Raw genomic sequence first — 27,540 nt, 5'->3', positions numbered from 1 at the left:
GAGGGTGAGGAGTAGGTACAAGGAAATATAAGAGAGTTTATCTAAATAGGCTTGTTTACTTATGTTGTCCAGAAACCAACTTTTGATCATCCCATTCGAGACTGCTCCCACAAGGGGGAACAACAATGTTAATTACCCACAGATTGTGTTGGTTCCAGGCTTTTGGCATTAGGTCTGTACTGAATAAAAGCAAAGAGCTCCAGCTTATTGAGACTGCTCACTCTTCGGCCACCTACTGCCGGGCAGTCCCTTAACTGCTCTTTCACTGGATACCTGTGTCTGAGTACTCCTTTCATCCGTAGCCCGGCCAGGGTCTGCGGATGGACCCAGCAATCTCTGGCGAAGGCTGAAAAAAAGACTGAAGATGGCAATCTTAAGGTTGATTTTTAAAAAGCATCCACCTACTTGTTTTAGGAAAATTTTCCGATAAATGTTGGTAACAAAAATTAATATCATACATATTATCTGTACATATATGTAAGCATGTATCATGGAGACAATATTATGAAGAATTAAGGTGATAGTTTTCCATTCTTACAGCAAACCAGATCCATCTAAAGCCATTCAATAGCATAGCTACAGTAAGTCAAGGGCAAAAACTACTTCATGAAGTCGACAGAAATAATATAAGGAATACTCTCACCCAATTAGAAAGAAAATTAAAAAAAAAAACAAAACTATTTCTGTCTAAGAGACTGGAACACAGAAAGGAAAAGTGAAAGAATAAAGTAGTCAAACATGAGAGCTCTGGTTCCCTATCAAAACACACACACACATACACACACAGGACTGGGAGATTATACAGGAGATTGAAGGTGAAATTATTAAAAGGCATTTACTAATTGCCCTTTTAGCAGAGTCCATTGTCATGCACAGCTTCTCCAAAATAAGCAGGAAGTGATTAGTTACAGAAGGAGCCTCAGATATTGCTCACAAGCCTCCTGCAGTGACTATGTGGTGTAGTTAAAGTCTAGAAATTACAAATGTTTTGTGGCCAACACGAAACTTATCTGTGAGTCATTGCCTGGGGGGCTTACTTGGACAAGGGCTGAGAGAATTACCAGTAGCTTGAACAGCTTAAGGGCGGGACCAAGTACAGAATGAAGCTCAGACTCTGAAGAATTTGCACTACTAAGGTAGGACTGAGGCAACACATCTGTGCTCTAACTCAGCAATCCCCAACCTTTTTGGCACCAGGGACCAGCTTTGTGGAAGACAATTTTTCCATGGATGGGGTGAAGGGGATGGTTTCGGGATGATTGAGCTGCATTATATTTTGTGCACTTTATTTCTATTATTATTACATTGTAATATATAATGAAATAATTACTCAACTCAGCATGATGTAGAATCAGTGGGAGCCCTGAGCTTGTTTTCCTGCAAATAGTCCAATCTGGGGGTGATGGGAGACAATTATACCCAAAATGTGTTGCTTATGTTCAGTCTACTCTGTATCTCACTTCGATTGTGGTCACTGCAGAAAATCCTGCTTCACAAAGACAGAGTGCTGGAAATGGAAGCAGGGTCCTCAGTGCTTTTGTGGCAATCTCAGGATATTCTACCTTGATTTTAATCCAGAATATATGGAGATCTGAAGTTGTATCAAACATATTTTTAAGGCCACTGTCATTTGCGATATCAAGCAGTTGGTCCTCTTCTAGCATGGCCAAAGTTGATTCACCTGGCTTATTCACATGTAAGTCACAGATCCATTCTTTCCCAGTTTGGGGGTCTTTTGTGGTTAGGTCTTTTGGCAAAGTTGATAGGTGACTATGAACCAGTTGGGAGAAAGAAGGCCCTGGCTCAGTCTCTTTGAAAATCTCTGCTAATGTTTGATACATGTCAAAAATCCCAATATTCACTCATCACCCTGATAATTCCAGTTTGGCTTTGAATGGAGCCACATTATCTGCCAACTTGAACACAGTTGTCATTCTCTCCTGAAGTGACAGATTGAGTTCCTTGAATAGGGTGAATATGTCAAACAGGTAAGCAAGTTTTGCAGCGCACTCTGTGTCACTGAAATGTGCTGCAGTGGTGACTGTTTTTCTAAAAGAAATCTTTGGAGTGGCTCTCACAACTCAAAAATTCTGGGCAGTGGTCTACCTTTAGAAGGCCTGCCTGTAATCCCAGCACTTTGGGAGGCCAAAGCCGGTGGATCACCCAAGGTCAGTAGTTCGAGACCAGCCTGGCCAATATGGTGAAACCCATCTCTACTAAAAATACAAAAATGAGCTGGGTGTGGTGGCACATGCCTATAATCCCAGCTACCGGGAGGTTGAGGCAGGAGAATCTCTTGAACCTGGGAGGCAGAGGTTGCAATGAGCAGAGATTGTGCTACTGCACTCCAGCCTGGGTGATGGAGCAAAACTCCATCTCAACCAAAAAAAAAAAAAAAAAAAAAAAAAGAAAGAAAATAAAGTCATCTCAATTCTGTTTATAAGAGAAGACGTGTGCTCTGCATCTATCTCCTCACAGAGCTGCGTGAACAGACGTGAGTAAGGGCATGTACTTTAATGTGGTTGATCATTTTAATCACATCCTGAAACACGTTATTAAGTTCAGGTGACATTTTTTGGCTAGCCAGCACTTCTCTATGGATGACACACTGTGTAGACTCACATTCAGAAGCAACCTCTTTGATGCAAGTAATGAAACCAGAAAGCCATCCATAGCAGCCGCTTCATCCACGCATATGCCAACACAAAATGGTCAATTCAGTTTTCCTGATATGTAATTATTCAAATAATTGAATAGTTCCGCAGCTGTGGTGTTGATTGGCACCAAAAGTGTACATAACATATCCTCATCCTCCTGAGAAATATGTCACACAAAAACAAGCATTGTTGCCTTGTTGTCAACATCAGTAAACTCGTCAACCTGGATTGCGTACCACAGTGACTCATTAATCCTCTCTAACAATTGTGCCTCATTATCCTCTGCTATTTCATCGATTTGTCTAGTTATGGTGCTAGCTGAAAGAGGAACATGTGCCACCTTTAGAACTGCAGTCACTCCTAAAAGTTCACGGCAAACGTCCTTAGGAGCAGGTGGGGTTAACTCTTCACCAGTAGTAAAGGGCTTCTTAGCTTTAGCAATGTGGTTAGCCACTAAGAGTGATGCTCTTTCTGCAGATGCATTTGATGAAGTGGTGGTCTTCAATAATTGCAGTTTTTCTTTGTGTTCACATTTTTTTTTCTTTTGAAAAACTCCAAGGGCCTCTCTTTTAATACAGGGTGCTTAGACTCCATGTGGCAAAGCAATTTTGAAGGTTTCATGGCTTCCTTGGATAGCCAGTCACAACACAGAATACAAAGCAGAGAATGTGAATCACCTTTTGCAAATAACCCATATTTTAAGTAGGACTCTTGGAATTTTCTTTTAAATGTAGATATCTTTTTGTTGGCACTCTTAAAGTCCTCTGCTGCCTCATCATTGGATTTTTCTCTCTTTTCAAAGAAGCTCTCTGGTGACATTTGTTTTTTACTTATTCTGGCTAGGGTTAGCTTGAGGGCTTACCAATTCTATGACTGAGACAAGTGCACAGTGCAGGAATGAGGCACAGGTGAAAGTGGTAAATAAAATAATGGGTGGACCATGTGCAGACTAAAATAAGTATTGAATTCTGACTTAAAGCCTGCCACCAGAGGCAACTTGTCACTTGCAACTCAGTGATAGAATTTTGATATGAGTCTGCAAGCAATTGATTTATTATGGTCTCTGTATAGTCAAACCTCTCCGCCAATGCTAATCTGTATTTGCAGCCACCCCCCAGCATGAGCATCACCACCTCCGCTCCACCTCAGATCATCAAGCAGAAGATTCTCATAAGGAGTGGGCAACCTAGATCCCTCATATGAGAAGTACACAGTAGGGTTTGTACTCCTATGAGAATCTAATGCCACTGCTGATCTGAAAGGAGGCGGAGCTCAGATGGCAATGCAGCCAATGGGAAGTAGCTGTAAATACAGATGAAGCTTCCCTTAATGGCCCATTGCTTACCTCCTGGTGTGCGCCCTGGTTTCTAACACGCCATGGATTGGTACAACTTTATGGCCCAAGGGTTGGACACCCCTGCTATAACTAAGAATTACTCATCCATACTTCAATAGTGAACTGAGGCAGAGCAGTCAGTGGCTAGTTAGATTAAAGGCATCTCTCAGAGAGAAGGCCCAGAAGATGAAATATAGCCACTGTTCTCCTTGATGATAGAACTGTGACCCCTATCTCATGCCTACCAACCCAAGCCTTCATTTTCCCTGGGACATGAAGTCCCATTTACCCCTACATGAAATATAGGCCTATATTTTGTTCATTAACCTGTGTTCTTGTAACACTGCAGAAGTGTTATCTTGACTAGTAGGGAAGATGTGTTCTATAGGGTCATTCAGGCCCCTGGTTCTTCCATCTTTAGGCACCTCAATTCCCTAAACTGTCAGGATATCGTCTTTATCTACATATTTGAAACAAGGTTTCAAACCATTATGCTTTTTAGCTCAAAAGACGGGGAAAGAAGGGTTTGAAGTCCAACAATTTCCCTTAAAAAAAGGTGATACTGTAAGTTGCACACATCATTTTATGCATGCCGCATGGAGAAATATGGGATGCAAGCAGGCTATGGAATCTAGCTTCTAAGGTACGTTGCCATATTACCACATAATTCTATTACAATGGAAGAAAAAGAAAAAAGCAACCAATTTGAGTAAAAGTTGCTAGTCTACCATACGTAATTCTTGTCAAGAAGACTGAGTTTGTAAAGGATGAAGTTTCTACCACTACCACAGCAATTCTATATCCCTGCCTTTCTTCACTATCTAGCAAGATGATGGATTTACAGAACATTGCACTGGCTATATCAACTAAGAAAAAGCTACATTTCAGTTTCTGATTTTATTGAAATAATGAAAATCTGTGTCTATTACATATATATTCTATTAGACTGCATGTTTAAATTAATTGTGTTTCTTGGTGTATTATATTTCTTGAGACTATAATACCATTTCCATATCATGGTCTGAGATTCCTGCATGATTATTGGTGTGAACTGAATGTTTGTGACCCCTTCCAAATTCATATGTTGATGTGCTAATTTTCTGTGAGTTGGTATTTGGAGGTTGTGTTTTGGGGAGGTAATTAGGTTTAGATGAAATCATGAAGGAGGAGCCCTCATTATGAGATTAGTGCCTTTATAATAAAAGAAAGAGACCGTGCTTCCTTCTGTTTCCACTAGGTGTGTACACAACATGAAGGTGGCCATCTGCAAGCCAAAAAGAGAGCCTTTACCAGAACCTGACCATTGCTGGCACCCCAATCCTGGATGATCCAGCCTCTAGAACTATGAGAAATAAATTTCTGCTGTTCAAGCAACCCAGTCTAAGATATTTTTGTTGTAGCAGCCTGAACTGCCTAAAGAAACTGTGGTCTTGTAAATTTCTCCAACATCATCTCAAATCACTCTCCGAATTGCTCTTGTCCAGGCATGTAGGTCTCCCTGTGTTCCCAGAGCATGAGAATTCACTTCCTTCCCCAGAGGCTCTGAACTCTCTATCTCCTCTGTCTTAATCATACTCTAGTTCTTCACCTACCTGGCTCCTTCTCATCCTTCAGGTATCTTACATAGCACCTCCAGAATGAGCAACACATTTCATGACCATTCTGTCTAAAACCATACCTTTCCTGTTTACTCAGTTACCATAATTAATGATTTTATTTCCTTCACTAAACTTTTCACAATCTGTAACTGTTTTATTTTTAATTATTTAATAGGGCATTGCTTGTCTCCAACATATAAATATAAGTTTCATAACTGTGTAAGTATCTTCTGTGTCTTTGTCACCCTGCTATTCTTTCTGCCAATTACAGTGCATGACACAAAGTGTTATTTAAAAATATTTGTTGAATGAGTGAATTGTATGGATAAGCTCTTAGAAAAACAAATATACAGGTATGTGCATGTGTGTACTGTGAGTTAATCATACTATTTCTCAATAAGTAGACCAAAAGAATCTTATTTACAGAACTCTAAGGCATTTTTTCACAAGTATTGCTAACTTATGACTATAAAACACCATGTTGTTGCCCTTGAGTCATTATGCAATCCAGCTAAAAGTGGATTGCTCTAAACCAACAGTTTTACATTCTGTTCCATACTCAAAGAGAACATATGCCATAGTAACCCTGTCTTTAAGCAAATTTGTGTTGTTTTATATTAGTTCTTGGATTTTATTTTTATGTTTCTTTGAAGGAGTTCGAAGGAGCAAATTTCCATAAAGATGGGGCTTAAATTACTATAGCATCAGTAACTACTCTTCAGACTACATGATAAGCAGCATGATTGAGAAGAAATGTTATTATGTTGTCCTATAGAATAGTGTAATATAGTTTTTCTAATGAGTAGTCAGATTTCCTGCATGTTTAATGACCTCAGGCAAGTGAGGAAAACTCGCAAAGACTTCAGTTTCTTCATCTACAATAGTGAGAATAATGCAGCCCCAATATCTTAGAATTGGTGTGAAGAGCTTCAACTGACACTGTAAATGTTGCCTTGCTTAAACTTACTAAAAACTATATTAGCTAGAAATGATAATCTCCATTCTACGGATGAGAAAATTGAAGCTCATAAAGGTTAAATGCCCTACTGTCACATAGGTGGTGGAAAGCAAAACCAATTTGTTTTCAACATACTCACATTTTTGTGTCCCTAATTAGAATTCTTTATTTAATAATTATTTCATTTTAGATAATTTGGCAATAAGCACCATGGAATAAGTCTTTGAATTTTTTTTATCTTATTTGAAATTATTGGTGTGTTGGTAGTTAAGCCAGTGAGGATGAGGATAGGAGAAAATGAGAAAAGAAAGAGAGAAATGTGGGAGAAAGTCAGATAAGAATGTCTGAAGTGCTAATGATGTCGTATGTTTTAGCAAAATTAGACAAGTAAGTCGTCTCTGTTTCTTTTATTTCACTAAAATGCCCAAGTAATAGAACCTTAGTAATAATTTTTCATGTATTTTTAAGATACATGAAGAAGTCAGTGGAGTGTGTGAGAGAATATCTGCTGTATTATATTTACTTTTTGTTACAAATGAAAGATAGTATTTCAACTCCAATTATGCGGGATGGGAAAAAGCTTTGTCTATTCCACTCTCTTGCTTTCAAAAAAAATACTCTGGAGCAAAATTTGAGACTCTCATTCCTCTATAGTTTTCTATATCCATTTTTCTTTCATTCTTGCTATCTCACTAGAAGCCAAAAGTTACTAATTGAAAAGAATATAAAGTTTTGAGAGCATTAGAGGTGAAAGCTATTTCAATTACTATTTTTGCTGCTTTAACATACTTCCAGTTATGAATGAGTCTGTACGTTAATGTTGTTAAATAAAAAGTGTCTATTTCAGAAACATAATCAGCATATTTTACAAATAACAGACCCAGAGTACAATAGACATTTAAAGTAAATGTTAAGTTGATCCATAAAAAAAAAAATTTTTAGATTTTTCTCTTTATTAATATTCTCTCCCTTTGGCACTACTAGGGTGTTCTGTTCAATTTGAACATCATCATTTAAGATTTAATAATATCCACCCTTTATCGGTTTCTCCTCTCACACATGCGTATAAAAATAACTTACTCGTCTCTTGTCCTGCAACCGCTCTGGCTTAACTCCCTAACATCACTGTGCACGAGGATGCAAGATAGGTTCTTACAAGGTAACTGCTTCACCTTTTTCTGCCTCTCACCTCCAAAAGGGCACCAGAGGCAAATTGAACATTGAGTTATCAAAGATAAGTAATTTATTTTCCAAATAGTTCTCTATGGGAAGAGAGGAGCCTGCCTCTTACATTCATTTGAAGGGCTTATGGCTGTGTGATTCTCTTTCAGCACTCCCCACAGAGAAGCCCTGGGTAGCAGCTTATCTTCCCTGTCCTTGAGAGCAGCATCCAGTCAAGTTGGTTCAAAAGAAAACTACTCACATGCCTATTGTGCTGTTGAATTGCATAGAATTGGATCCTTAAACAATGTTAGTTGATTGCCTTTTGATGAATTTGTCTAAGTTCCTCACATTTTTTTGTCTCCTCATATAACTGGAAATATACATATATTTTGTTGCATATATATATATAATATATATATAAATTATATATAATATATATATATATAAAACCAAGGATCTTAAGGAATTGTTGTTTTTTTAAAAAAAAATCTTAAAAATTAGTAAGGTAGCAAAAAGAAAACCGAAGATTCTGAGACACACAAACAAACAAACAAACAACAATGCAGCTAGTCCATTGTTCTATTCCCCATGTCTGAAAGTGATCTATCTACAGGAAAATTACTCTGGTCATCATTTCAGTAAATGAGAAAGGAGCCATGGGAAAGAGGATTTACTCCACTGTGTTGCCATAGAATACAGCATAACCACCTACAATGAAACTTCAGCAGCTAAGACTGCTCGCACAACAATAACTTACAATGTGATTGCACAACTCACCAAAAATGTCCAAAACAACAGCACTAATAGCTGCTCCAGGCAATCAGCTCTAGAGAGGAATAACCAGTTATGTTTTTGTTTTTGCAGAGATGGCTTTGTTGCTTCCTTGAGGCTACATTTGTAAAAAATATTCTGACCACACTCCACCTATCTGAAATATGCCAGAACACCTGTCAATAAAGGGCAGAGTTTAAACTATGGTGATGTATATTGATTGAATATACAGCTTTGTTTCCGATTAGCTTGCTTCATTGGCCTAATTACTTTATCTTTCTAAGTCTGAATGTTATTTTTGTCACTTAAAAATAGATTTACCTTATAAAATTGGCATATTCTGGGGATTTCAAAAATGTCTTCACATAGAAATAATTTATAACCATTACTATGAGTTTCAATTTTTGAATCTTCTTGTTTTATTGATTATTACTTGTTGGAAATTTAATAACCATTCTTAAATTTACATTAGCCAAATTAAGCAATTAACTTTACTTTGAGAATGACCAACAATGAAAACATAACAAAACCAAACAAAAAACTAAACTGACAGTAGCTAGTAATAATAGGTTACACAAAATAGAAGTGTTTGTTTTTTCTTCTCATTCATAGAAATTTAATATAGAAAAAGAAAATTTAGGGCTAAAATTGCAGCTCCTAGAAGGCCAGGCCCTTTCTATATTGTTTGCTCTATTACCTTTAAAAAACATAATTTTAATAATAGTAATAGCAAATATGTTTTTACTATTTCCTATGGGCCATGAACATAGTAAACAGCTTTACTTATAGCTCACTTAACACTCAAAATAATCAGAATACTATTCCAATTTTACATATGGAGTTACTAAGACACAGATAACACATATGCAGTTGACCCTTGAACATCATGGGTTTGAAATGTGTCAGTCTACCCACAAATACATTATTAAAAATAAGTATATTGGAAAATGTGGGGGAGCATTTGTGACAATTTGAAAAGAAAACTTACCAAAAGTTAGGTATGTCATGAATGCATAAAGTATGTCTAGATAATAATTGATTTTACCATTTTGCTACCATGAAATTTACACAAATTTGCTACCATGAAATACACACAAATCTATTACAAAAAGTTAAAGTTATCAAAATTATGCACACACTTACAGACCATACATGGTGTCATTTGCAGTCAAGAGAAATGTAAATGAAAGTAAAGATGCATAAAACATACCTGCATAAAATTAACTGTAGTGTGTACTGTTGTACTATAATAAATTCATAGCCACCTCCTGTTGCTATTGTGGTAAGCTCAAGTGTTAAATGTGCTTAAAACATCTGCCATGTGATCCTCATCATCTCTGTGTGAGCCATTCATCTCTTCATTAAATTGCGTATAGCAGTGAAAAGTGATATCTCATGGTTCTTGTGTATTTTTCATTGTATTTAGTATAATACTTTAAACCTTGAGTAATACCATGGGACCCATATGAAGTGTCACTAGTAATGCTGAAAGTGCTCCCAAGAATCAAAGTCATGACAGAACAAGAAAAGTTTGAATTGCCTTATATGTACCACAGATTGAGATCTTCAGCTGAGATTGCCCACAATTTCAAGATCAATGAAGCCAACACAAAGACCATTGTAAAAAGGAAAAGGAAATTTATGAAGCCTGTGCTGCAGCTACACCAGCATGTGTGAAAACCTTGCACATTTTGTGAAACACCTTTACATTTTGTATTGAAAATGCAGCTTTCATGTTGGTGAAGGATTGCTATAAGAAAGATGTACCTATTTTACTCTAACATGATTTGAGAAAAAGTAAAGTCATTATATGACAATTTAAAGCAAAAAGGAAGCTGGAGAAATTAATGCCAGCTAAGGATGGTTTGATAAGTTTAGAAAAAGATTAGGCTAAATAATGTCAAGATAAGTGCAGCAGCTTCTGCTGACCAAGAGGCAGTAAATAAGAAAATCACCAAGGAGAAGGATATCTGCCTGAACAGATTTTTAATGCAGAAGAAAGTGACCTGTTCTGGGTGTGGAGTGGGGGGAAGGCACAAAGAACATTCATTAATAAGGAAGATAAGTGAGAACCAGAATTTAAGGCAGAAAGGGATAGGCTAACTCTGCTGTTTTGTGCAAATATAGTCAGGTTTATAATTAGGACTGCCCTTATCTATAAAGCTACTAAATCCGAAGCCCTGAAGGAAAAAAATATACACACCAGCTTCCAGTCATTTGTTTGTATTACAAGCAGACCTGGACAATAAGAACACTTTTTCTGGATAGGCTCCCATTGATGTTTTGTCCCTGAAATCAGGAAGTACCCTGCCAGTAAGGAAATGCCTTTTAAAGTTTTTTTTGATATTATACCATGATTTTGGCCACTGAGAACCCCCTTGAGTTCAGTATCAAAAGCGTTAAAGTAGTCTATTTGCCATGAAACACATGGCTTTAATTCAGCCTCTAATTAAAAGTCATAAGGACCTTTACGGTTCATTATACATGGTACTCTATGGAAACAGTTGTCATCACTATGGAAGAGAACCCTGAAAGAGAGAACATCATAAAAGTCTGGAAGGATTACACTATTGAAGATGTTGTCCTTCTTATAGAAAAAGCTGTGAAAGCCATAAAGCCTAAAACAATAAATTCTTGCTGGAGAAAACTGTCCAAGTGTTGTGCATGACTCACAGAATTGTCAACAGAGACAATTAAGAAAATCATGAAAGTGATGCTGGATATGGCAAAACAAGGTAGGGGATAAAAAGTTTCAAGATATGAATCTTGGGGAAATTCAAGAGCTAGCAGACAGCATACAAAATAAATTAATTAATTTAATTTAATTTAATTCCGGTGCTCACTTCTCTTCCTTACTGATAGAGATGAGTGCTTTCAGACTAGTGTCAGATGGTGAGGAAAAAGATGTAGAATTAGCAGTACCAAAACACAAACTGACAATTACATAATCTACCAGAGGGTTCTGATTACTCAAGACTGCTTTTGCCTTTTTTTAGGATATGGACTTTTGTATTATTTGGGCACTGAAACTGAAGGACATGGTGGAAGAAGGATTGGTATCATATAGAAATATTGTTAGAGAAAAAAAACGAAAAAAATGTCCGGCAGAAATTGCAATGTATTTCCATAAATCTACACTGAGTATGCACACCTGTCTTGCTTTCCCTTTCACTTCCTTCACCTCTTTCTCCTCTGCCACTACTGTGACAAGACCAAGCCCTCTTCCTCCTCTTTCTCAGCCATCTGATGGCCATCCTAGCCATGTCCATCAACATGAAGATGATGAGGATGAAGACCTTTATGATAATCAACTTCCACTTAATGAATAGTAAGTATATTTTCTTTTCCTTATGATTGTCTTAATAATATTTTGTTTTCTCTAGTTCACTTTATTGTAAGAATACAGTATTTAATACATACAACACACAAAACATGTGTTAATTGACTTTTTCTTATTGAAAAACCTTCTAGTCAACAGTAGGCTATGAGTAGTTAAGATTTTCAGGGTCAAATATGATATGTAGATTTTCAAATGCATAGGAGGTAGGCACCCCTTACCCCTATGTTGTTCAAGGGCCAACTTTATTGTCCAAGATCACGCAATCCAAATATTTGTCTTGGCTAAAGCTGCCACATCGGCATTCAAGCAAACAAGAAGGAAGGACACAAGGAAACGCATGATTTTAGGACACTAATTAGAATCCAATGCAATATTATCACAGTGACCTCAACTTAGTAACAAGTAATACTTTGTTGCAAAGTGTACTGGGTAATGTAGTCTTTATTCTGAGAGACTATGTGCCTAGTTAAAATGCTGGAAGTTTCCTATTAAGGAAGAATGGATGTTGGAGAACCACAGGCTATTTCTGTTACATGGATGCATGCACTTCTATTAGATTTTGTCTACATGGATATAAGATATTCTTTATTCAAGCCTACTTTTTAAAATTCTCCTCCTGGAATAGTCCTCCTGCTTATAGCAGATCTTAGTCAATCATTTCCAGAAGGTGAAGGCATTGTGTATTCCACACAAAATATTTTCTTCAAATCATCAAATCAGGCCTCCCTCAAAGTCCTTTCTACTAGTAATTTTAATTTTTAATTTGTTAGGCTAGAAAAGCTAATCTTTTTTCAGACAAGTTCAGAAACTTGGAATGTCTGATCTGTCATTTATTATATATGTTGAAAGTATATAGCATTTCCCAGGCACTTTTTACAGATACTAGTCTTGAACAGATAAATAAGACAAGTCCCTATTTTCACAGATGTTACACTCTAGTGGGGTCAGGGGGTGGAGGAACCAAACAAAATTGTAAGAAAGAAATAATTTGAATTCCTATATTGTTTGCTGAGTGGTTAATATATGCTGTATCTCCTACTTTTAAGAAAGTTAAAATTTATGTGAGAAATAAATATATAGGATTACAAAATAAGTGTAGGTTTCAATTAATAACATAAGTGACCATCATTGTAGGTAGTGCCAAGAACTGCAAAGGGTCTGAGATTTTACTCCCCTTGCAAACCGAGAAGTTTCCTGCCACAGTTTCACAGATCGTGGTACAAAACACGAGACTCTTGTGTCAGAGACAAATGTCATTGCTATTTATAGAACAAGAGGCAGCATGAGATAGACCTTCACATCAATTAACTCTTGCTTCCAAATACTATATAGGTGATCTGGAGTGACCTAGGTCATTATTGTATACACAGTGGATTTGTGTCACAAATGAATAATCCCAAGTTTAGGAAGGTCCAGTTCTTTAAAAGGCCTGCTACCAGACTGCGCACCATTTGCCTTGAAATGGAACATTGTCTTTGTTATATTGGTTAGGGAATAAATATCTCTGCTCTGGAAAGAGACACTTTTTCTATCTTATGAGACAGTTTGCTACACAAACATCTTTGAAGAGATAGCCTAGAATAGCAGCTGATTCAAAATATGCAGAAACCTTGTCTCCCATAGAGAATTGTCTCCCCAAAGATACATGAGACCACAGAATGAAACATTGAGCTGTGTTTGCATAATCAAAGTGGTGCAGGCATTTAAACAACCAAAACACAAGATCAGTATTTTATTCCAGATACATAAAATGAGCATGTTTACGGTATATTATAAGAGATGATGTGAATGAATAGTAAAGAGAGCTTTAAGTGCATTACAGAAACCATACTTCATTCTGAAGAATTCATGAAGCCAGTTAAACAGGCAACATGTATAGTGAAAGCAAAATTTGGGGAAATTTTATAATGAACTTGCTAGAGTGAAATCATCACCATGGATTATGGTCAGAGATGTGTTGCACAGGGAGAATCCACTGACTACATAAGAGCAAAGAAGATAAATACATGCAATGTATTTCCAGTGTCCTAAGCTTAAATAACCATGGAAATTATGGCCCTATAAGGAGAAACAACTAACTCAGAAAGACTTGTTATACAGCTGGAAGAATTAGGCTGATTTGAACTATGTTTAATTTAATCTAGTCTGAAAATATGTAAGTAGAAAATACCCAATAGGAAGTAAGAAATGTGTGATTATAAAAATGTGTTGAAATTGAGCTTTTAGGGGATATGAAACCGTGGTAGCCTTAGTGGTGAGTTTGGTACCAAAGTAAAATCTCAGACCCTTCGCTGGTCTTAAAAAAGTTGTCAATGTTTTTTTCTTGTAAATTTGTTGGAGTTCATTGTAGATTCTGGATATTAGCCCTTTGTCAGATGAGTAGGTTGCAAAAATTTTCTCGCATTTTGTAGGTTGCCTGTTAACTCTGATGGTAGTTTCTTTTGCTGTGCAGAAGCTCTTTAGTTTAATTAGATCCCATTTGTCAATGTTGGCTTTTGTTGCCATTGCTTTTGGTGTTTTAGACATGAAGTCCTTGCCCATGCCTATGTCCTGAATGGTAATGCCTAGATTTTCTTCTACAGTTTTTATGGTTTTAGGTCTGATGTTTAAGTCTTTAATCCATCTCGAATTGATTTTTGTATAAGGTGTAAGGAAGGGATTCAATTTCAGCTTTCTACATATGGCTAGCCAGTTAAGAAAAAAACAAACAACCCCATCAGAAAGTGGGCGAAGGACATGAACAGATGCTTCTCAAAAGAAGACATTTATGCAGCCAAAAAACACATGAAAAAATGCTCCTCATCACTGGCCATCAGAGAAATGCAAATCAAAACCACAATGAGATACCATCTCACACCAGTTAGAATGGCAATCATTAAAAAGTCAGGAAACAACAGGTGCTGGAGAGGATGTGGAGAAATAGGAACACTTTCACACTGTTGGTGGGACTGTAAACTAGTTCAACCATTGTGGAAGTCAGTGTGGCGATTCCTCAGGGATGTAGAACTAGAAATACCATTTGACCCAGCCATCCCATTACTGGGTATATACCCAAAGGACTATAAATCATGCTGCTATAAAGACACATTCACACGTATGTTTATTGCGGCATTATTCACAATAGCAAAGACTTGGAACCAACCCAAATGTCCAACAATGATAGACTGGATTAAGAAAATGTGGCACATATACACCATGGAATACTATGCAGCCATAAAAAATGATGAGTTCATGTCCTTTGTAGGGACATGGATGAAATTGGAAATCATCATTCTCAGTAAACTATCACAAGAACAAAAAACCAAACACCGCATATTCTCACTCATAGGTGGGAATTGAACAATGAGATCACATGGACACAGGAAGGGGAATATCACAGGTGGGGTGGGGGGAGGGGGGAGGGATAGCATTGGGAGATATACCTAATGCTAGATGACGAGTTAGTGGGTGCAGCGCACCAGCATGGCACATGTATACATATGTAACTAACCTGCACAATGTGCACATGTACCCTAAAACTTAAAAGTATAATAAAAAATTAATTAATTAATTAATTTAAAAAAAAAGTTGTCAATGTTGAATTGGAAGGGGTACTGAGAGCCTAAGTAATTTCAAGAATGAGAGTATTCTGTACAAATTGAAAACACTTTCTGCCAAAGAAGGCATTTATTTTCTTGTAATTGTTAATAAGTTGCTATATTTCACAGACCTGAACTCTAGTTTCAATCTGAAAAAATAAAATAAAATTATGCTGTATCTAGTCTGGCAAATAACAGCCGTCAGTTTTTTGTTGTCCAAGAGCATGTAAATACACTGGATTCAGTTAATTAGTAAACTAAACCTTCCTTGTCTAAAAAGACCCTGAATATTTCTTCATTGCTTTATATACTGTGTGGAGTTATATGAAAATTTAAGGAAGATTTAATTATAATTCGAGTTAGTTGAGTGGCACAGAATACACTTTTGCTTTTCCCTCTGGCAGTTCATATATTCATTCCTTCACCCAAACACTTACTTATACAAAAAATGTCTTTCTATCAACAAATGTGCTGGGATGCATTTTGCTAGGTATATATGATACACGAATGAATCAACAAAGTTCGTATCTTGCTTCTTGTGAAGAGTCCTTACGTTGCACCTCAGGTCTAGTAAATGAAACAGTTTGGTTGTGCCTAAACACTTGTCATAACTACCTCAGGCAAGGTTCTTAGCTACAAGCAGCATATACCAAATCTAGCTGACTTAAATAGAGAACGCATTTATTAAAAGGATTGACAGGAACTACCGTCATTCTAGGAAGGCTGAAAACCAAGGCAAGAGCACAGGCAGAAACAAGGAACCCGAGTGGCTGGAGCCACAGCCAAATGTGAACATGTAAACTGAGGACAGTGTATTTTTCAGATCTGTTTCCTGAGTCTGGAGTAGCCCCTGTCAAGAGCCAAGTACATAATGATGTCACTGGCCAGGCCCTATGGATACGTTTACATATCTTGCCACAAGGCATCTCGTGTGCCCTCATGCTTGACCAAGGCCCATGGCACCCCCATCCTTCTGTTACAATTTCCTGATGTGTTCTAATTTTAGTCTTTGCCTGATCCTGCTCCAACACTCTACAATTGGGACTACTCACAAAATTAGCAAATGTAGAAAATAGCCACTCATTGACAAATCCAATGTTTAGATGTTTTGTCTTACACTCCTAAATTAAAATTAAAGCAGCAGTTAACCTTTTTTAGATATTTTGGAGTGTCTAATAAATTCTTGAGGAATTAGATGTGTTTGGGGAATAAAATAGTGAAGACAAATCCTTGCAGTTAGTCACTGTCTGGGGGAAGAAGCTATATAAAAGCTATCAATACTATAACGTACATTCTCACGGAGTTTTGTGTAAAGTATTATAAGAACACAGATGAGAGAATAATTCTGCTTGCAGTAGGCAAGAGAAACTTCAGAAAAAGAGATGCTTCCAGTTATCAAAATATAATTTATACACAAACATAATTTCTCTACTTGTTCAGAGTATGGGTATTTCACTGGGTTTCCACTAAAACATGTATATTTAATTTTTGGTACTTCACAGGGTTAAAGTAGTAAACCATATCCCAATGAACATAATTTGGCTAGCTGCAAACAGCATCCCCGAATCTACAGTCATATGGCATATTGGTCCTATGTTCCCGAGGCCCTAGGCTACACAATAAATTTTCTTAATATTACAGTTGTTGGAATGATAAGGGAAAATAACATGTAACCAGAAAATAGAATCCTAAAAGCTGTTTTTAACGTACCAAGGAAACATATTCTGGAAATGAATTCTTTATCTTTGAGATTTAATCTGCCTGGGGTACATTCTTGGGGAGAGCGGAAGACAAGACAAAGGTAGACATAAATGAAAAAGCATTCAAAAGTTTATATTTTAAGCTTTCCATTTGATATTTAAAGGTGTCGTAGATATTTTTGTGAGCTCTCCCTGTGTGAGCAGAATACATCAGCCTGGTTGCCTGTGGAATGGAGCAAACAGCTCAGCAGTGCTCTCAGCAAGGATCACGCATTTTCACATCATTTAGAGTGTGGGGCCACAAACCCAAAAATGTCACCCACCCTTGGCATCTCCATTAACAGGAGACATTTTATTTGTTTAGTTTTAATTTCACGAAGCAGAATTCCTGAAATAATGGTTTTATCAGCATGTAGACAGATTCCTACAGGGACTGGGACACCTGCTTCAAACTACCTCATTAGCCTAACTCATCTTCTCACTCTGAGCGTGTATTGACCTCTTTTTCTTTCAGGAATGTGAAATATCTGTCTGTTGTGAAATATTTTCTCATCACTCTTTGCTTTCACTGAAAGAGAAATCTTGATTTTTCTGCTGTTGAAAATCATTGCTTTGGATTATAGAACTACCACTAAGAAGGTCCCTATAAAAATATAAATATACAAGAAAATCTAAAATTACAGAAGTGCTTTCCTAGAAACGTTTCACTCACCAATAAATTGCAGGGTATATGCCTCAAGAATAAATGTAAGAATAATTGTATGGATAAATAGATGAATGAAAATTAGTTGGCTATAACTTTAGATAGCAAAGGCTAGGATGACTGGAGAATGAGACTCAGGACACATCCGATTTCTACATTGTAAATATTGGTGAAATAGTTTTCCAGAAATCGTAGGCTCAGATGATGTATTAAAATTGGAAGCAAGCCAAGACATAGACAATTTGTCACAAAGAAATGAGCTACATAAAAAAAGATAAGTCCCCTGTTTTGACAGTATGTACCAAAGAATTACAGTGCGTTGTGTGTATGCATGTGCTCAGGCACATACGTTCACGTGTGTTTAAAAATAGAGCCAATGTGTTTTGCTTACAGGTGTAAGTCAATAAGTCCCAAAAGGCTGTGAGCAGATCCCTGCAATTCCCTGCTAATATCCTATTAATATCTTCAACAAATACTTTACTCCCCTGATTTAAAAAAAAATAAGTTATACAAAAACACTATCCTGATGTTAAGGATTATCTGGCAATTCAGATGAATGCATACACTGATGATTAGTTATTTGATTAGATTTTTGAGCCTGATTTCCCTTGCCATAGACAGCAGCTTCTGAAAAAGCCCAGGAATGAAAATTAATTGTACAAATTAAGATTCATAAGGAGATCTAGGGCAAGTACTTTATCTACATTATATGGACCATCTCTGTTGAGCCTTGCTTTAGTTACCTATCGCAATAGAGCAAATTACCCCTCAGAACTTAGCAGATGGAAAGAGCAAACAATAATTACCTCACAATTGAGGAGCAGCATAGCTGGGTTTTTCTGAATTAGGGTCTATCATGAAGTTATAGTCTAGAGGGTCATCAGAAGGTTCAACTTGGGGAGAATCCACTTCCAAATTTGTTCAGCATAGTAATAGAAGGCCTGTTTTTCAAAAGAAGCTATCGGCAGCAGACCTTAGTTCCTCACCACATGGGCCTTTCCTGAGTCTGCCTGTGTGTCTTTATGACATGATAGATAGCTGGCATTCCCCAGAGTGGGAATGATGAGTGAGGATATAGACATAAATATCATATACCTCTATAAAATAAGGGAGGCTATTACAAAAGGGTGCAATGGAGAGCTATAAAATTAATCTATAATAGTTAAGATTGAACAATAATAGAAAAAAAGGAAAAGTTATAGAAAGCATAATGCAGCTTGACTTGTCAAATACAATAAAATTTAAATAGTCATATTTTCAAAAGAATAAGTGGAATCCCAGAGTCTTACTTGATGTGAAATAAAAAAGCGATAGTAAGCAATATGTACTCGCTCTGTATTAGGGAAATTTTGCTGCATAACGAACTACCCTGGCTGGGCGTGGAGCCTCCCACTTTGGCAGGTTGAGATGGGAGGATTGCTTGAGGAGAGGAGTTCAGGACCAGCCTGGGCAACACAGTGAGACCCTATGTCTACAAAAAATAAAAATAAAATGAAATACAAACTGCTTCTAAAATGAGAGTCTTAAGCAACCTTTATTTTCTTCAAAATTCTCTGGCTAGACTACAAAGGTTTTTTTGGTCTAAACCAACTGTGCTGATTTCTATGCCCAGCCGCAAGCCAGGCTGGTATAGAATGGTGTTTTTCCCATGTCTAGTTGTTGATTGATGTTATCTAGGTTGACAAGGATGGCTTGGCTAAGTGTCTCTCATCATCCAGATAGCTAGCCTAGACTCACTCATTTTATAATAGCTATGTGCTTTCCATGAGAAGAAAGAGAGAGGAAACCTCAGTTTCAAGGTTCTTTTCCAATGTATGCTGGCATCAACATTGCATTTGTCACTGTCCTTTTCTCAAAGTGAGCTCTGTGAACTTTATCTCTTAAAGTGAGATGCTATAAAGTCACATTGTGAAGGGTCTGCAACCAGGGATGTAGAAGACTGGTTACTAATTTTGCAATTAATACACTTTTCAATTATTATTCGCCCCAATTCATTGTTTCTTGAAATAATTTAAGAGCATTAATAATCTTATTTTGGTGAACGGTATACCCCAATCCAATAGAGACTGAAATAAAAGCTTGCATGCTGTAATTGAATTGAAAAAAATCATTCCAAGGAGCAGGAGATAAATGGGAGAAAGCCAGACAGGAAGCAGAAAAAGCCATTACAGTGGCTTTATTATGGAATTATTTAGTTGATGCACTGAGGGCAACTGAGGCTTGATCCCACCAGGACCGTCCAAGGAAACATGCAGAATGGGGAAGGAAAAAGGAGGGAAGGAAAAAAAGAAGGGAGGTTTTTCACCAACCATCACATTCTCATAATTCAGCAGCTACTCCATAGCATGTTAACTACCTCATACTCCCAGGTCATTCTGTCATTAATAAGTGGGTTTCCTTATGTGTGAACCTCAGTAGAGTTAGAAAACCTCCAAGACAGAAAGTGAGAAACACATAGCACAGCTGAGGGGCTGGTTACTGCACAAATGCCTGGAGGAAAATATGGACCAAGAATTCTGTGGGCTACCAAAAATTTCCAATCAGTACTTGAGGAAAGTTATCATTTTGCTTAGAGAAACTACAAAACTCATTATACATGCTGTCTCACTTAACCCCTACTAAAAACATCTGATATACAGAAAAATTAAGTAACTTGCTCAAAGCTATTAATACAAAATTAGTTAGTGAAGAAGTGGGATTTGAAGATAGCTTTCTAACACCAAAGTCTGTGGGCTATTTTTTTTTTTTTGACAGGATCTTACTCTGTTACCCAGGTTGGAATGCAGTGGCATGAGCATAGCTTACTGCAGCCTCGAACTCTGGGGCTCAAGTGATCATCCCATATCAGCTTCCTGAGTAGCTGGGACTATAGGCATGTGTCACCATGCTTGGCTAATTTTTTACTTCTTCTAGAGATAGTTTGTTGCTATGCTGACCAGGCCGGTCTCGAACTCCTGTCCTCAAGCTTTTCTCCCGCCTTGACCTCCTGAAGTGCTGAAATTATAGGTGTGGGCCACCATGACTGACCAAAAGTCTGATTTTTCAAAGTGCTTTACGTCCTATAATTCTTGGCTCATGTGTTTGTGTGTGTGTGTGTGTGTGTGTGGTTTCTTTTTTGGTAGAGATGAGTTGGGGATGACCAGGCACTGATGGAGACTGCACATTCTTTGACATCACTCTATGATGGGATATAGTGTATCTGTTATAATCCACTCATTCTAAAAAAAAAAAAAAAAAACTACTTAGGGACTTTCCATAATGCAACATGGGAGGATATGCAGCCATACAAGAGCAAAGTGACATTAACTGGATGGAAGTTTTCTCATCAGACTGAAGTTGGCTGATAGTGTTTTCTTTCAGGCCACAAAATGCCTGTTCCCTTCTTCATTACATTCTCAGGTAAGAAGGCAGGAAAAAAAAATAAGGGAATGGGTAATATTTTAAGAGGTGCTGGGAATATTCCATTTAAATAAAAATTGTATTTTTATGGTTGTACCCTGGCTTACTCACAAATTCATCAATCAGAACTCTCTATTAATTATCATTTCATCAAATCTTTCAGTAAAAATGATGATGACTGATGAGCATACTGATGTCTCTAATATATTGTGAGTCCATAAAAATACTTCAAGATTATCATTGCAATGAAATCACACTCACTATAGTTTTATCATTGGTTTTATTAAGTTTGGAAAATTACTGGTTCATATACAATATATATGATAATTTCATTAACACTAAGATTTGATTAAAAAGAAAATTTTATTCCTCCGCTTTGCAATAAAACTGAGACTTACTCTAGAAGCAGTTAAGTGTATATGTGTTGCTTCCTGGGATGAACAAAGTTGGTCAAATAAAGAAACCTACTGAATTTTACTGCTGTCTCATAAAGAGTGTATATAGCACCCATAAAGAATATGGTGGGAAAGTAAATTATTTACTGTGAGAACCTTGGCTGTGAAATCATTTATATACCACTAAGGGATTTGCATACAGTGGAGGAAGGAGAGCCTGAGAATTACATTTCTATGCATTTTTCCACTTTTTCCATCTGAGTATAAGGCATTAAGCTTCTTAGGTTTTAGATACAGAATAAAAATCTCTATCACAAAATTTCTGGGGGATAATTGCTGAAGGGATTTCTGATATTTTAAAATTTAATTGTGGTGTTCTTTGTTCTTTAAACAATATAATGGACTTTCTATAACTCTCAGTGTGTTTAAAAGCACTTTATTACCAGGCACTTTATGTGTATTCTGTGTAATTTGAAATATTATTAAACATCTGCCACTGTGGTTCTTAGAGTGTCCACTGAGCCCGACTTGCATAAGAAACATATAGAAAGATCATGCCACTGGGAAATCTACTATGGCTAAGATTCCTTAAACCATTTAATAATACTCTATAAACAGTCTAACGTTCTTAGAGAGTAAGAAATTCTTAGGAAAGAAAACAAAACCATTTTGACAACTAGAGTACCTCTTCACTGAAAAGTAGAATGTCAATCATTTTTGCTTTTTTAAGCCACTAAATGGTAATGTCTTGGCACAGTTGAGATAAAGCAGCAAAGAAACACCTTTATAAATTTTTGAAGCCCATCTTTTTACACAGCACAATAGAGTTCAAAAATGTGTTCACTTGCATTATACCGCCTCAACTACAAAGCAAACACAGGCATTAGAAATAGACAATATCACCATTCTCATTTCACAATTGGAAAAGCAGACACTCGGAGAGGAAAAATGACTTTTCCAAAGTCACACGGAGAGGTAAGAGAAAAACTGGAACTGGAATGTTAAAATTTCATTCTGTGCATTATTTACTCAATATTCCCCGATTTTGCCCTGAATGTACAGAGAAGACAGGGTGCTTTCTATTTCTTGCTCTCTCTGTTACTGTAAAATCTCTCTGGTGGTCCAAAGTGTCATTGCTCTGAGGCTAATCAAACCTAGGTGAGAGATTTTTGAAATAGATTTATTTTCTTAAAACTTTGAGTTATTTTCGGTGAAACCCCATCTCTACTAAAAATACAAAAAACTAGCCGGGCTTGGTGGAGGGCGTCTGTACTCCCAGCTACTCCGGAGGCTGAGGCAGGAGAATGGCGTGAACCTGGGAGGCGGAGCTTGCAGTGAGCCGAGATTGCGCCACCGCACTCCAGCTTGGGCGACAGAGCGAGACTCCGTCTCAAAAAAAAAAAAGAAAAACTTTGCGTTATTTTTTACCTGTAACTTTATGTCATTTCATGCACATTGCACTGTGGGAATAAACAAGAGTAAGATATCAGTAACTTTTGATTATACATGTGCTAGTATCAGAATAGCAAAAAACAAACTTGTGGCTTTTGTTGTCATGACAGTAAATGACCCATTTTAGATATCCAGATGACTGATTTAGGGCACTACAGACAGAAAAATTAATTTTATGTAAATTTCCAAACTAGCATCTATTATTACAGCTGGAATGCAGAGCTGTGATATTTAGGTATCCTGAGAATAGCCATACTATCGTATTTGAGGGAATCTCTACTGCCCCCCTCTACTTCTCCCTCCCCCCTCCACTCTTCTCAAGCCAGACCTTTTTTAAAAATAACTTACTGTAATAAGTCTTTTGCTTTTTTTTATTTCTTACGATAAATTTCATTTTGCTTTTTTAAAGTTACCTGCCATTTTCTCAGGAGACTATAAAGTAAGATTGGTAGTATACATTTTAAAGTTGGACTGAAAATTGTCAAGCTAATAAGGAAGCATACTCATCAGTGATGTATTCTAGGCAATTCTTTTTTTTCACATATTATTAAAAAAAGAGTCCAGGGGTCTTCCCAAGGTCATGGGTCAAGTTAATAATACACTTTGGACTTGATACCAAATTATCTAACCTCTAGGAACACTTCTTTTCTCTCTATACTATGAAGGCATTTATAATCATCAAACACAAATTGTGCATCAGGAAGCGTTATTAGTTTAAAAGTAATTTTTAAGCCAAGAAAGGAATAGCTATGAAAATGTTCAGTAAGTCTGGTGAATTACACTCAGAAAATTGCTAGCAATCATGGTGGCTAACAACCAGAATGAAATCAAACTATGTACCAGGCTTTCTATGGAGTCATATTGTCATTGCTGCCTTTGGACACTGGATGTAGCTAATGTCTCTCCTTCCCTAGAATGAGCATTCTAATGCTGGGAACCCAAATCCAAAATACGTTGGCTTTTTCAGCTTTAATCATGTAAGACTGCTGGTCTTTCATCAAAACTTCCTAAATGTAAAAAATATTACTTTCGTGAAAGAAAATGCTAAGCACCAATAAAAAGAAATGAGAATTATCTATACATTGGAGATATATTAGCAAATGAAAGAAATAGTAATTCCTAAAACACTAAAGGATTTATTTGACTACCTACCTCGAAACTATGTGATGTTTTTTCATAACAAATTTAGCTTTTTATTATAATTTTTTATTTAAATCATGTATCTTCTCAAAGAAAAACCTATCAGATATAGCTAATAGTTTTTATTCTCTTTAAACAAGTTAAGAACACTGATATTCATTGAGTTCCCCAAATTTGAGCAGGTTTAAACTGAAATTGCTAATGGAGAAATTTTGATATTATGAAAGATGAATGTAACACCAGGCGATGTAATGGCATTTTATCTTTGTTTCTCAAAATCAAATATGCAAATACACATATGAAAATAATAGTATGCTTTTTGAGTTTTGAAGCCATCAAAAATTCAAGTAATTATTATGAAAAAGATATGATAAAAATAACTTTTGCTTCATATGTGTTTTTTTCCTTATTAGGTTGTTACATACTTGTAGGCAATATTTGCTTCTCTGTAATTGGACCAATACAAATATAAAATGTATTTACAAGTGGTTTTTTTTTTTTTTTTTGCAATTCCTTTAGGAAATATCAAAATGTGCACAATAAATAAATACAATTTTGTCAATTAAAAATAAAATTTTAAAAGTATATATGAAAGGAGTTCTCAATGTATCTTGCTGTTTCCCAAAGTCTATTGCTTTGTTTATGAATAAGGATAAACATAAAAATAATTGAATGTATAAACTTATCTCCATATATATGCTATGGTGTTTCATCTTACTATAAAATATTATATGCTCAGTAGATGGATATCAGTTCAACCACATTTAATATTTGGCATTCTGTAGCAACTTCTTCAAGACTGGCAGTGGACAAAAAAAGTTTTAGTCTTTATGAGAAGTTTTCACAGTAAACATTTATTTTTTTCATTAAAGTTACATCACATTTACTTGTGTAGCCCAAGTCAAATGTACACTCATACTTTCTCAGATATAAATTGGAAAAAAAAAAAAAAACTAGAGAGACAGAGAGAAAGAAGGTGTATGAACTAGCTTTTACTTAACCAACTAATGCTCAAGGTCCCCATTCTCCCTGGAAATGCTTACAGCAGAGAAAACTCTCTTTGCTAGAAGATCAGTCCCATGCTCGCAGAGTAAGATTTTTATTCTCAAACCTCTTTATGCCAGTTATGCTTGTTATTGTGATAAAATAACCCAATTATGGCTCACGCCGGTAACGCCAGCACTTTGGGAGGCCGAGGCGGGCTGATCACGAGGTCAGGAGTTTGAGACCAGCCTGGCCAACGTGGTGAAACCTCATCTCTACAAAAAATACAAAAATTAGCCAGCCATGGTGGTGGGCGCCTGTAATCCAAGCTACTTGGGAGGCTGAGACAGAAGAATCACTTGAACCCGGGAGGTGGAGTTTGCGTGAGCTGAGATTATGCCATTGCACTCCAGCCTGGTTGACAAGAGCAAGACTCCATCTCAAAAAAATAAATTAATTAATTAAATAACCCAATTAAATATTATGTAAACCTGTAAAATATGAGTTTGCAATAAAGGTGATTTTTATGTCCATGAAATTAAAGGTTTTTGGAGGACTTAAGGCTATAAAAGAACAAAGATGAATTTTTGGATGGGATGAATGTCAAAGTGTGGAATATATAATAATCAAGAAGTTTCTACTCTCAAATTGCTTTGTAATGTCTAAGTGTGAACCCCACCATAAATAAACTCATACTAGAAAGGGTAGAGGGGCATTTTGGACTGAATTGTTTGCAAAACTTCGAATATGAAATTATATACCAGCAGACTAAAATAGGGAAGAAAGGGAACCTTTGTTCCATATCCAAAGTTTGAAGAATAAATGCATAATATGATTACGTTAATGTATTTAAGAGATGGTTAAAAGTAATGAAATGTTTGATTTTTACTTAAATCTTGGTAAGCTTGTACAAACTTAAGCGTAGTTCTCGTTTGAATTCTAATAAGTGGGACACCTTCATGTACTACTGAAGTGCCATTTCTATGATGTTTATGCATTCTTACACATATTTTGGATACAGCAAATAATTTATGTATATTTATAAGATGTATATATTTTTCTTAATCCTGTTTACTTTAAACTTAAAATGGTATTTAATAATATATGTATAAATTATTTATGTAGTAATATAAACAACCTTTTGCATATTTATTAGTTTTCTTCAAATTTGGAAAATAATTTAGAAAAAATAGCATGGCCTATTGAAAAGAAGAACTCATAAATTAATCTTTAGTTCCCCAAAAGTTAAAAATGAGCATATTGGACACAAATGAGCATATTGGACACAAACCATGTGTTTGTTATGTACAATTACTATTAATTTTAGATTTTTAAATATTTGATATATCTGTATCTGATATTTACATATACATATATAATCTATAATTTCCCCAACACGCATTTGTTTGTATAATTCTATTAGCTTAGTAACTTTACTGCTCTCTGTCCTCTTTTTCCACACCTTTACAATACAGAATAAATAGGTTTTTGTGAGAACTGAGCCAATTAATATATGAAAACCACAAACAAACAGAATGCTAAGTTTTCACATATTTTATCAATACTCTAAATACTGTTAACTAAGTGATACTGAAAACTGTATTTAAATTCTACTACATAATTAAATGATTCTTGTTAAGCTACCCTTGAATACAGAAAAGGAAAAAATATATATTACTATTTTGATAAATACTGTGATTATAAAATGGCTGCTTTTCCTTATATGTGTAAAATCTCATTCTGTTTTCATAATTCTTTAAATTGACTCTTTTAACAATCTAGGAATACAGTAAGTCACTGGAATATTTTATATCATAGATTTATTGCATGGTAGTTTATTTTTTACCTGATACACTAACAACAAATTATAATAGATGAATAAAGCACAAAGTTATATTTTTCCAAATATAAGTATATACACATTATTTGGCAATGTTGCACTACATAAAGTGGCTCATACCCTCAATTTTAGCCTTATGTTATGCTCTCATTGTGTTAACTGGATATAATTATTAAGTTGAGTTCTTTCGATTTTTGTGTTTCCCCAAACTTATAGAATCAATAACAGAAAGATTATATTTTGTTTTTCATAACTATATTATAATAAAAGAAGCAATACAACATCTAATGGAAATATAATTAAAATTCTTATATTCACTAAAACAAAATTAAGATTTACACATATACAATACCATTTCTAAATGAATATGTACATTATTGCAAACGTAAAGAAAGAGTCCATAAACTGCTGGTGGGATTATAAAATGTAACAAGTTTTCTGAAGAAGGATTTAGCCAGATGTACAAATATTTTTATGTGCCTATATATGTGTGTGAATATATATATATAACATATATATACACAC

The 27,540-nt window shown here is 35.9% G+C and overlaps 2 long non-coding RNA genes across 2 annotated transcripts in view, besides 1 other annotated feature; one reads left to right on the top strand and one right to left on the bottom strand.

The window, feature by feature from the left end:
* LINC02506 (long intergenic non-protein coding RNA 2506) overlaps window positions 1–27,540 on the bottom strand; it is a 158,028-nt gene that overhangs the window by 13,576 nt on the left and 116,912 nt on the right. The window lies entirely within an intron of this gene.
* Window positions 1,053–5,367, top strand: LOC124900845 (uncharacterized). Its single transcript, XR_007058441.1, has 2 exons — window positions 1,053–1,136; window positions 5,231–5,367. It is a non-coding gene; the product is annotated as an uncharacterized LOC124900845 (long non-coding RNA).
* Window positions 7,627–8,186: an enhancer, noted in NCBI's record as "OCT4-NANOG hESC enhancer chr4:32135267-32135826 (GRCh37/hg19 assembly coordinates)". NCBI's record gives its function as "activates a minimal SCP1, AML or CMV promoter by ChIP-STARR-seq in primed H9 embryonic stem cells {active_cell/tissue: H9 hESC(primed)}" and the evidence as "EXISTENCE:reporter gene assay evidence [ECO:0000049][PMID:30033119]".

Source organism: Homo sapiens, chromosome 4, assembly GCF_000001405.40.
Source record: "Homo sapiens chromosome 4, GRCh38.p14 Primary Assembly".
NCBI lineage: Eukaryota > Metazoa > Chordata > Mammalia > Primates > Hominidae > Homo > Homo sapiens.
Note: the sequence above shows the minus strand (reverse complement) of the source record. Positions and strands in the feature narration are given on the sequence as shown.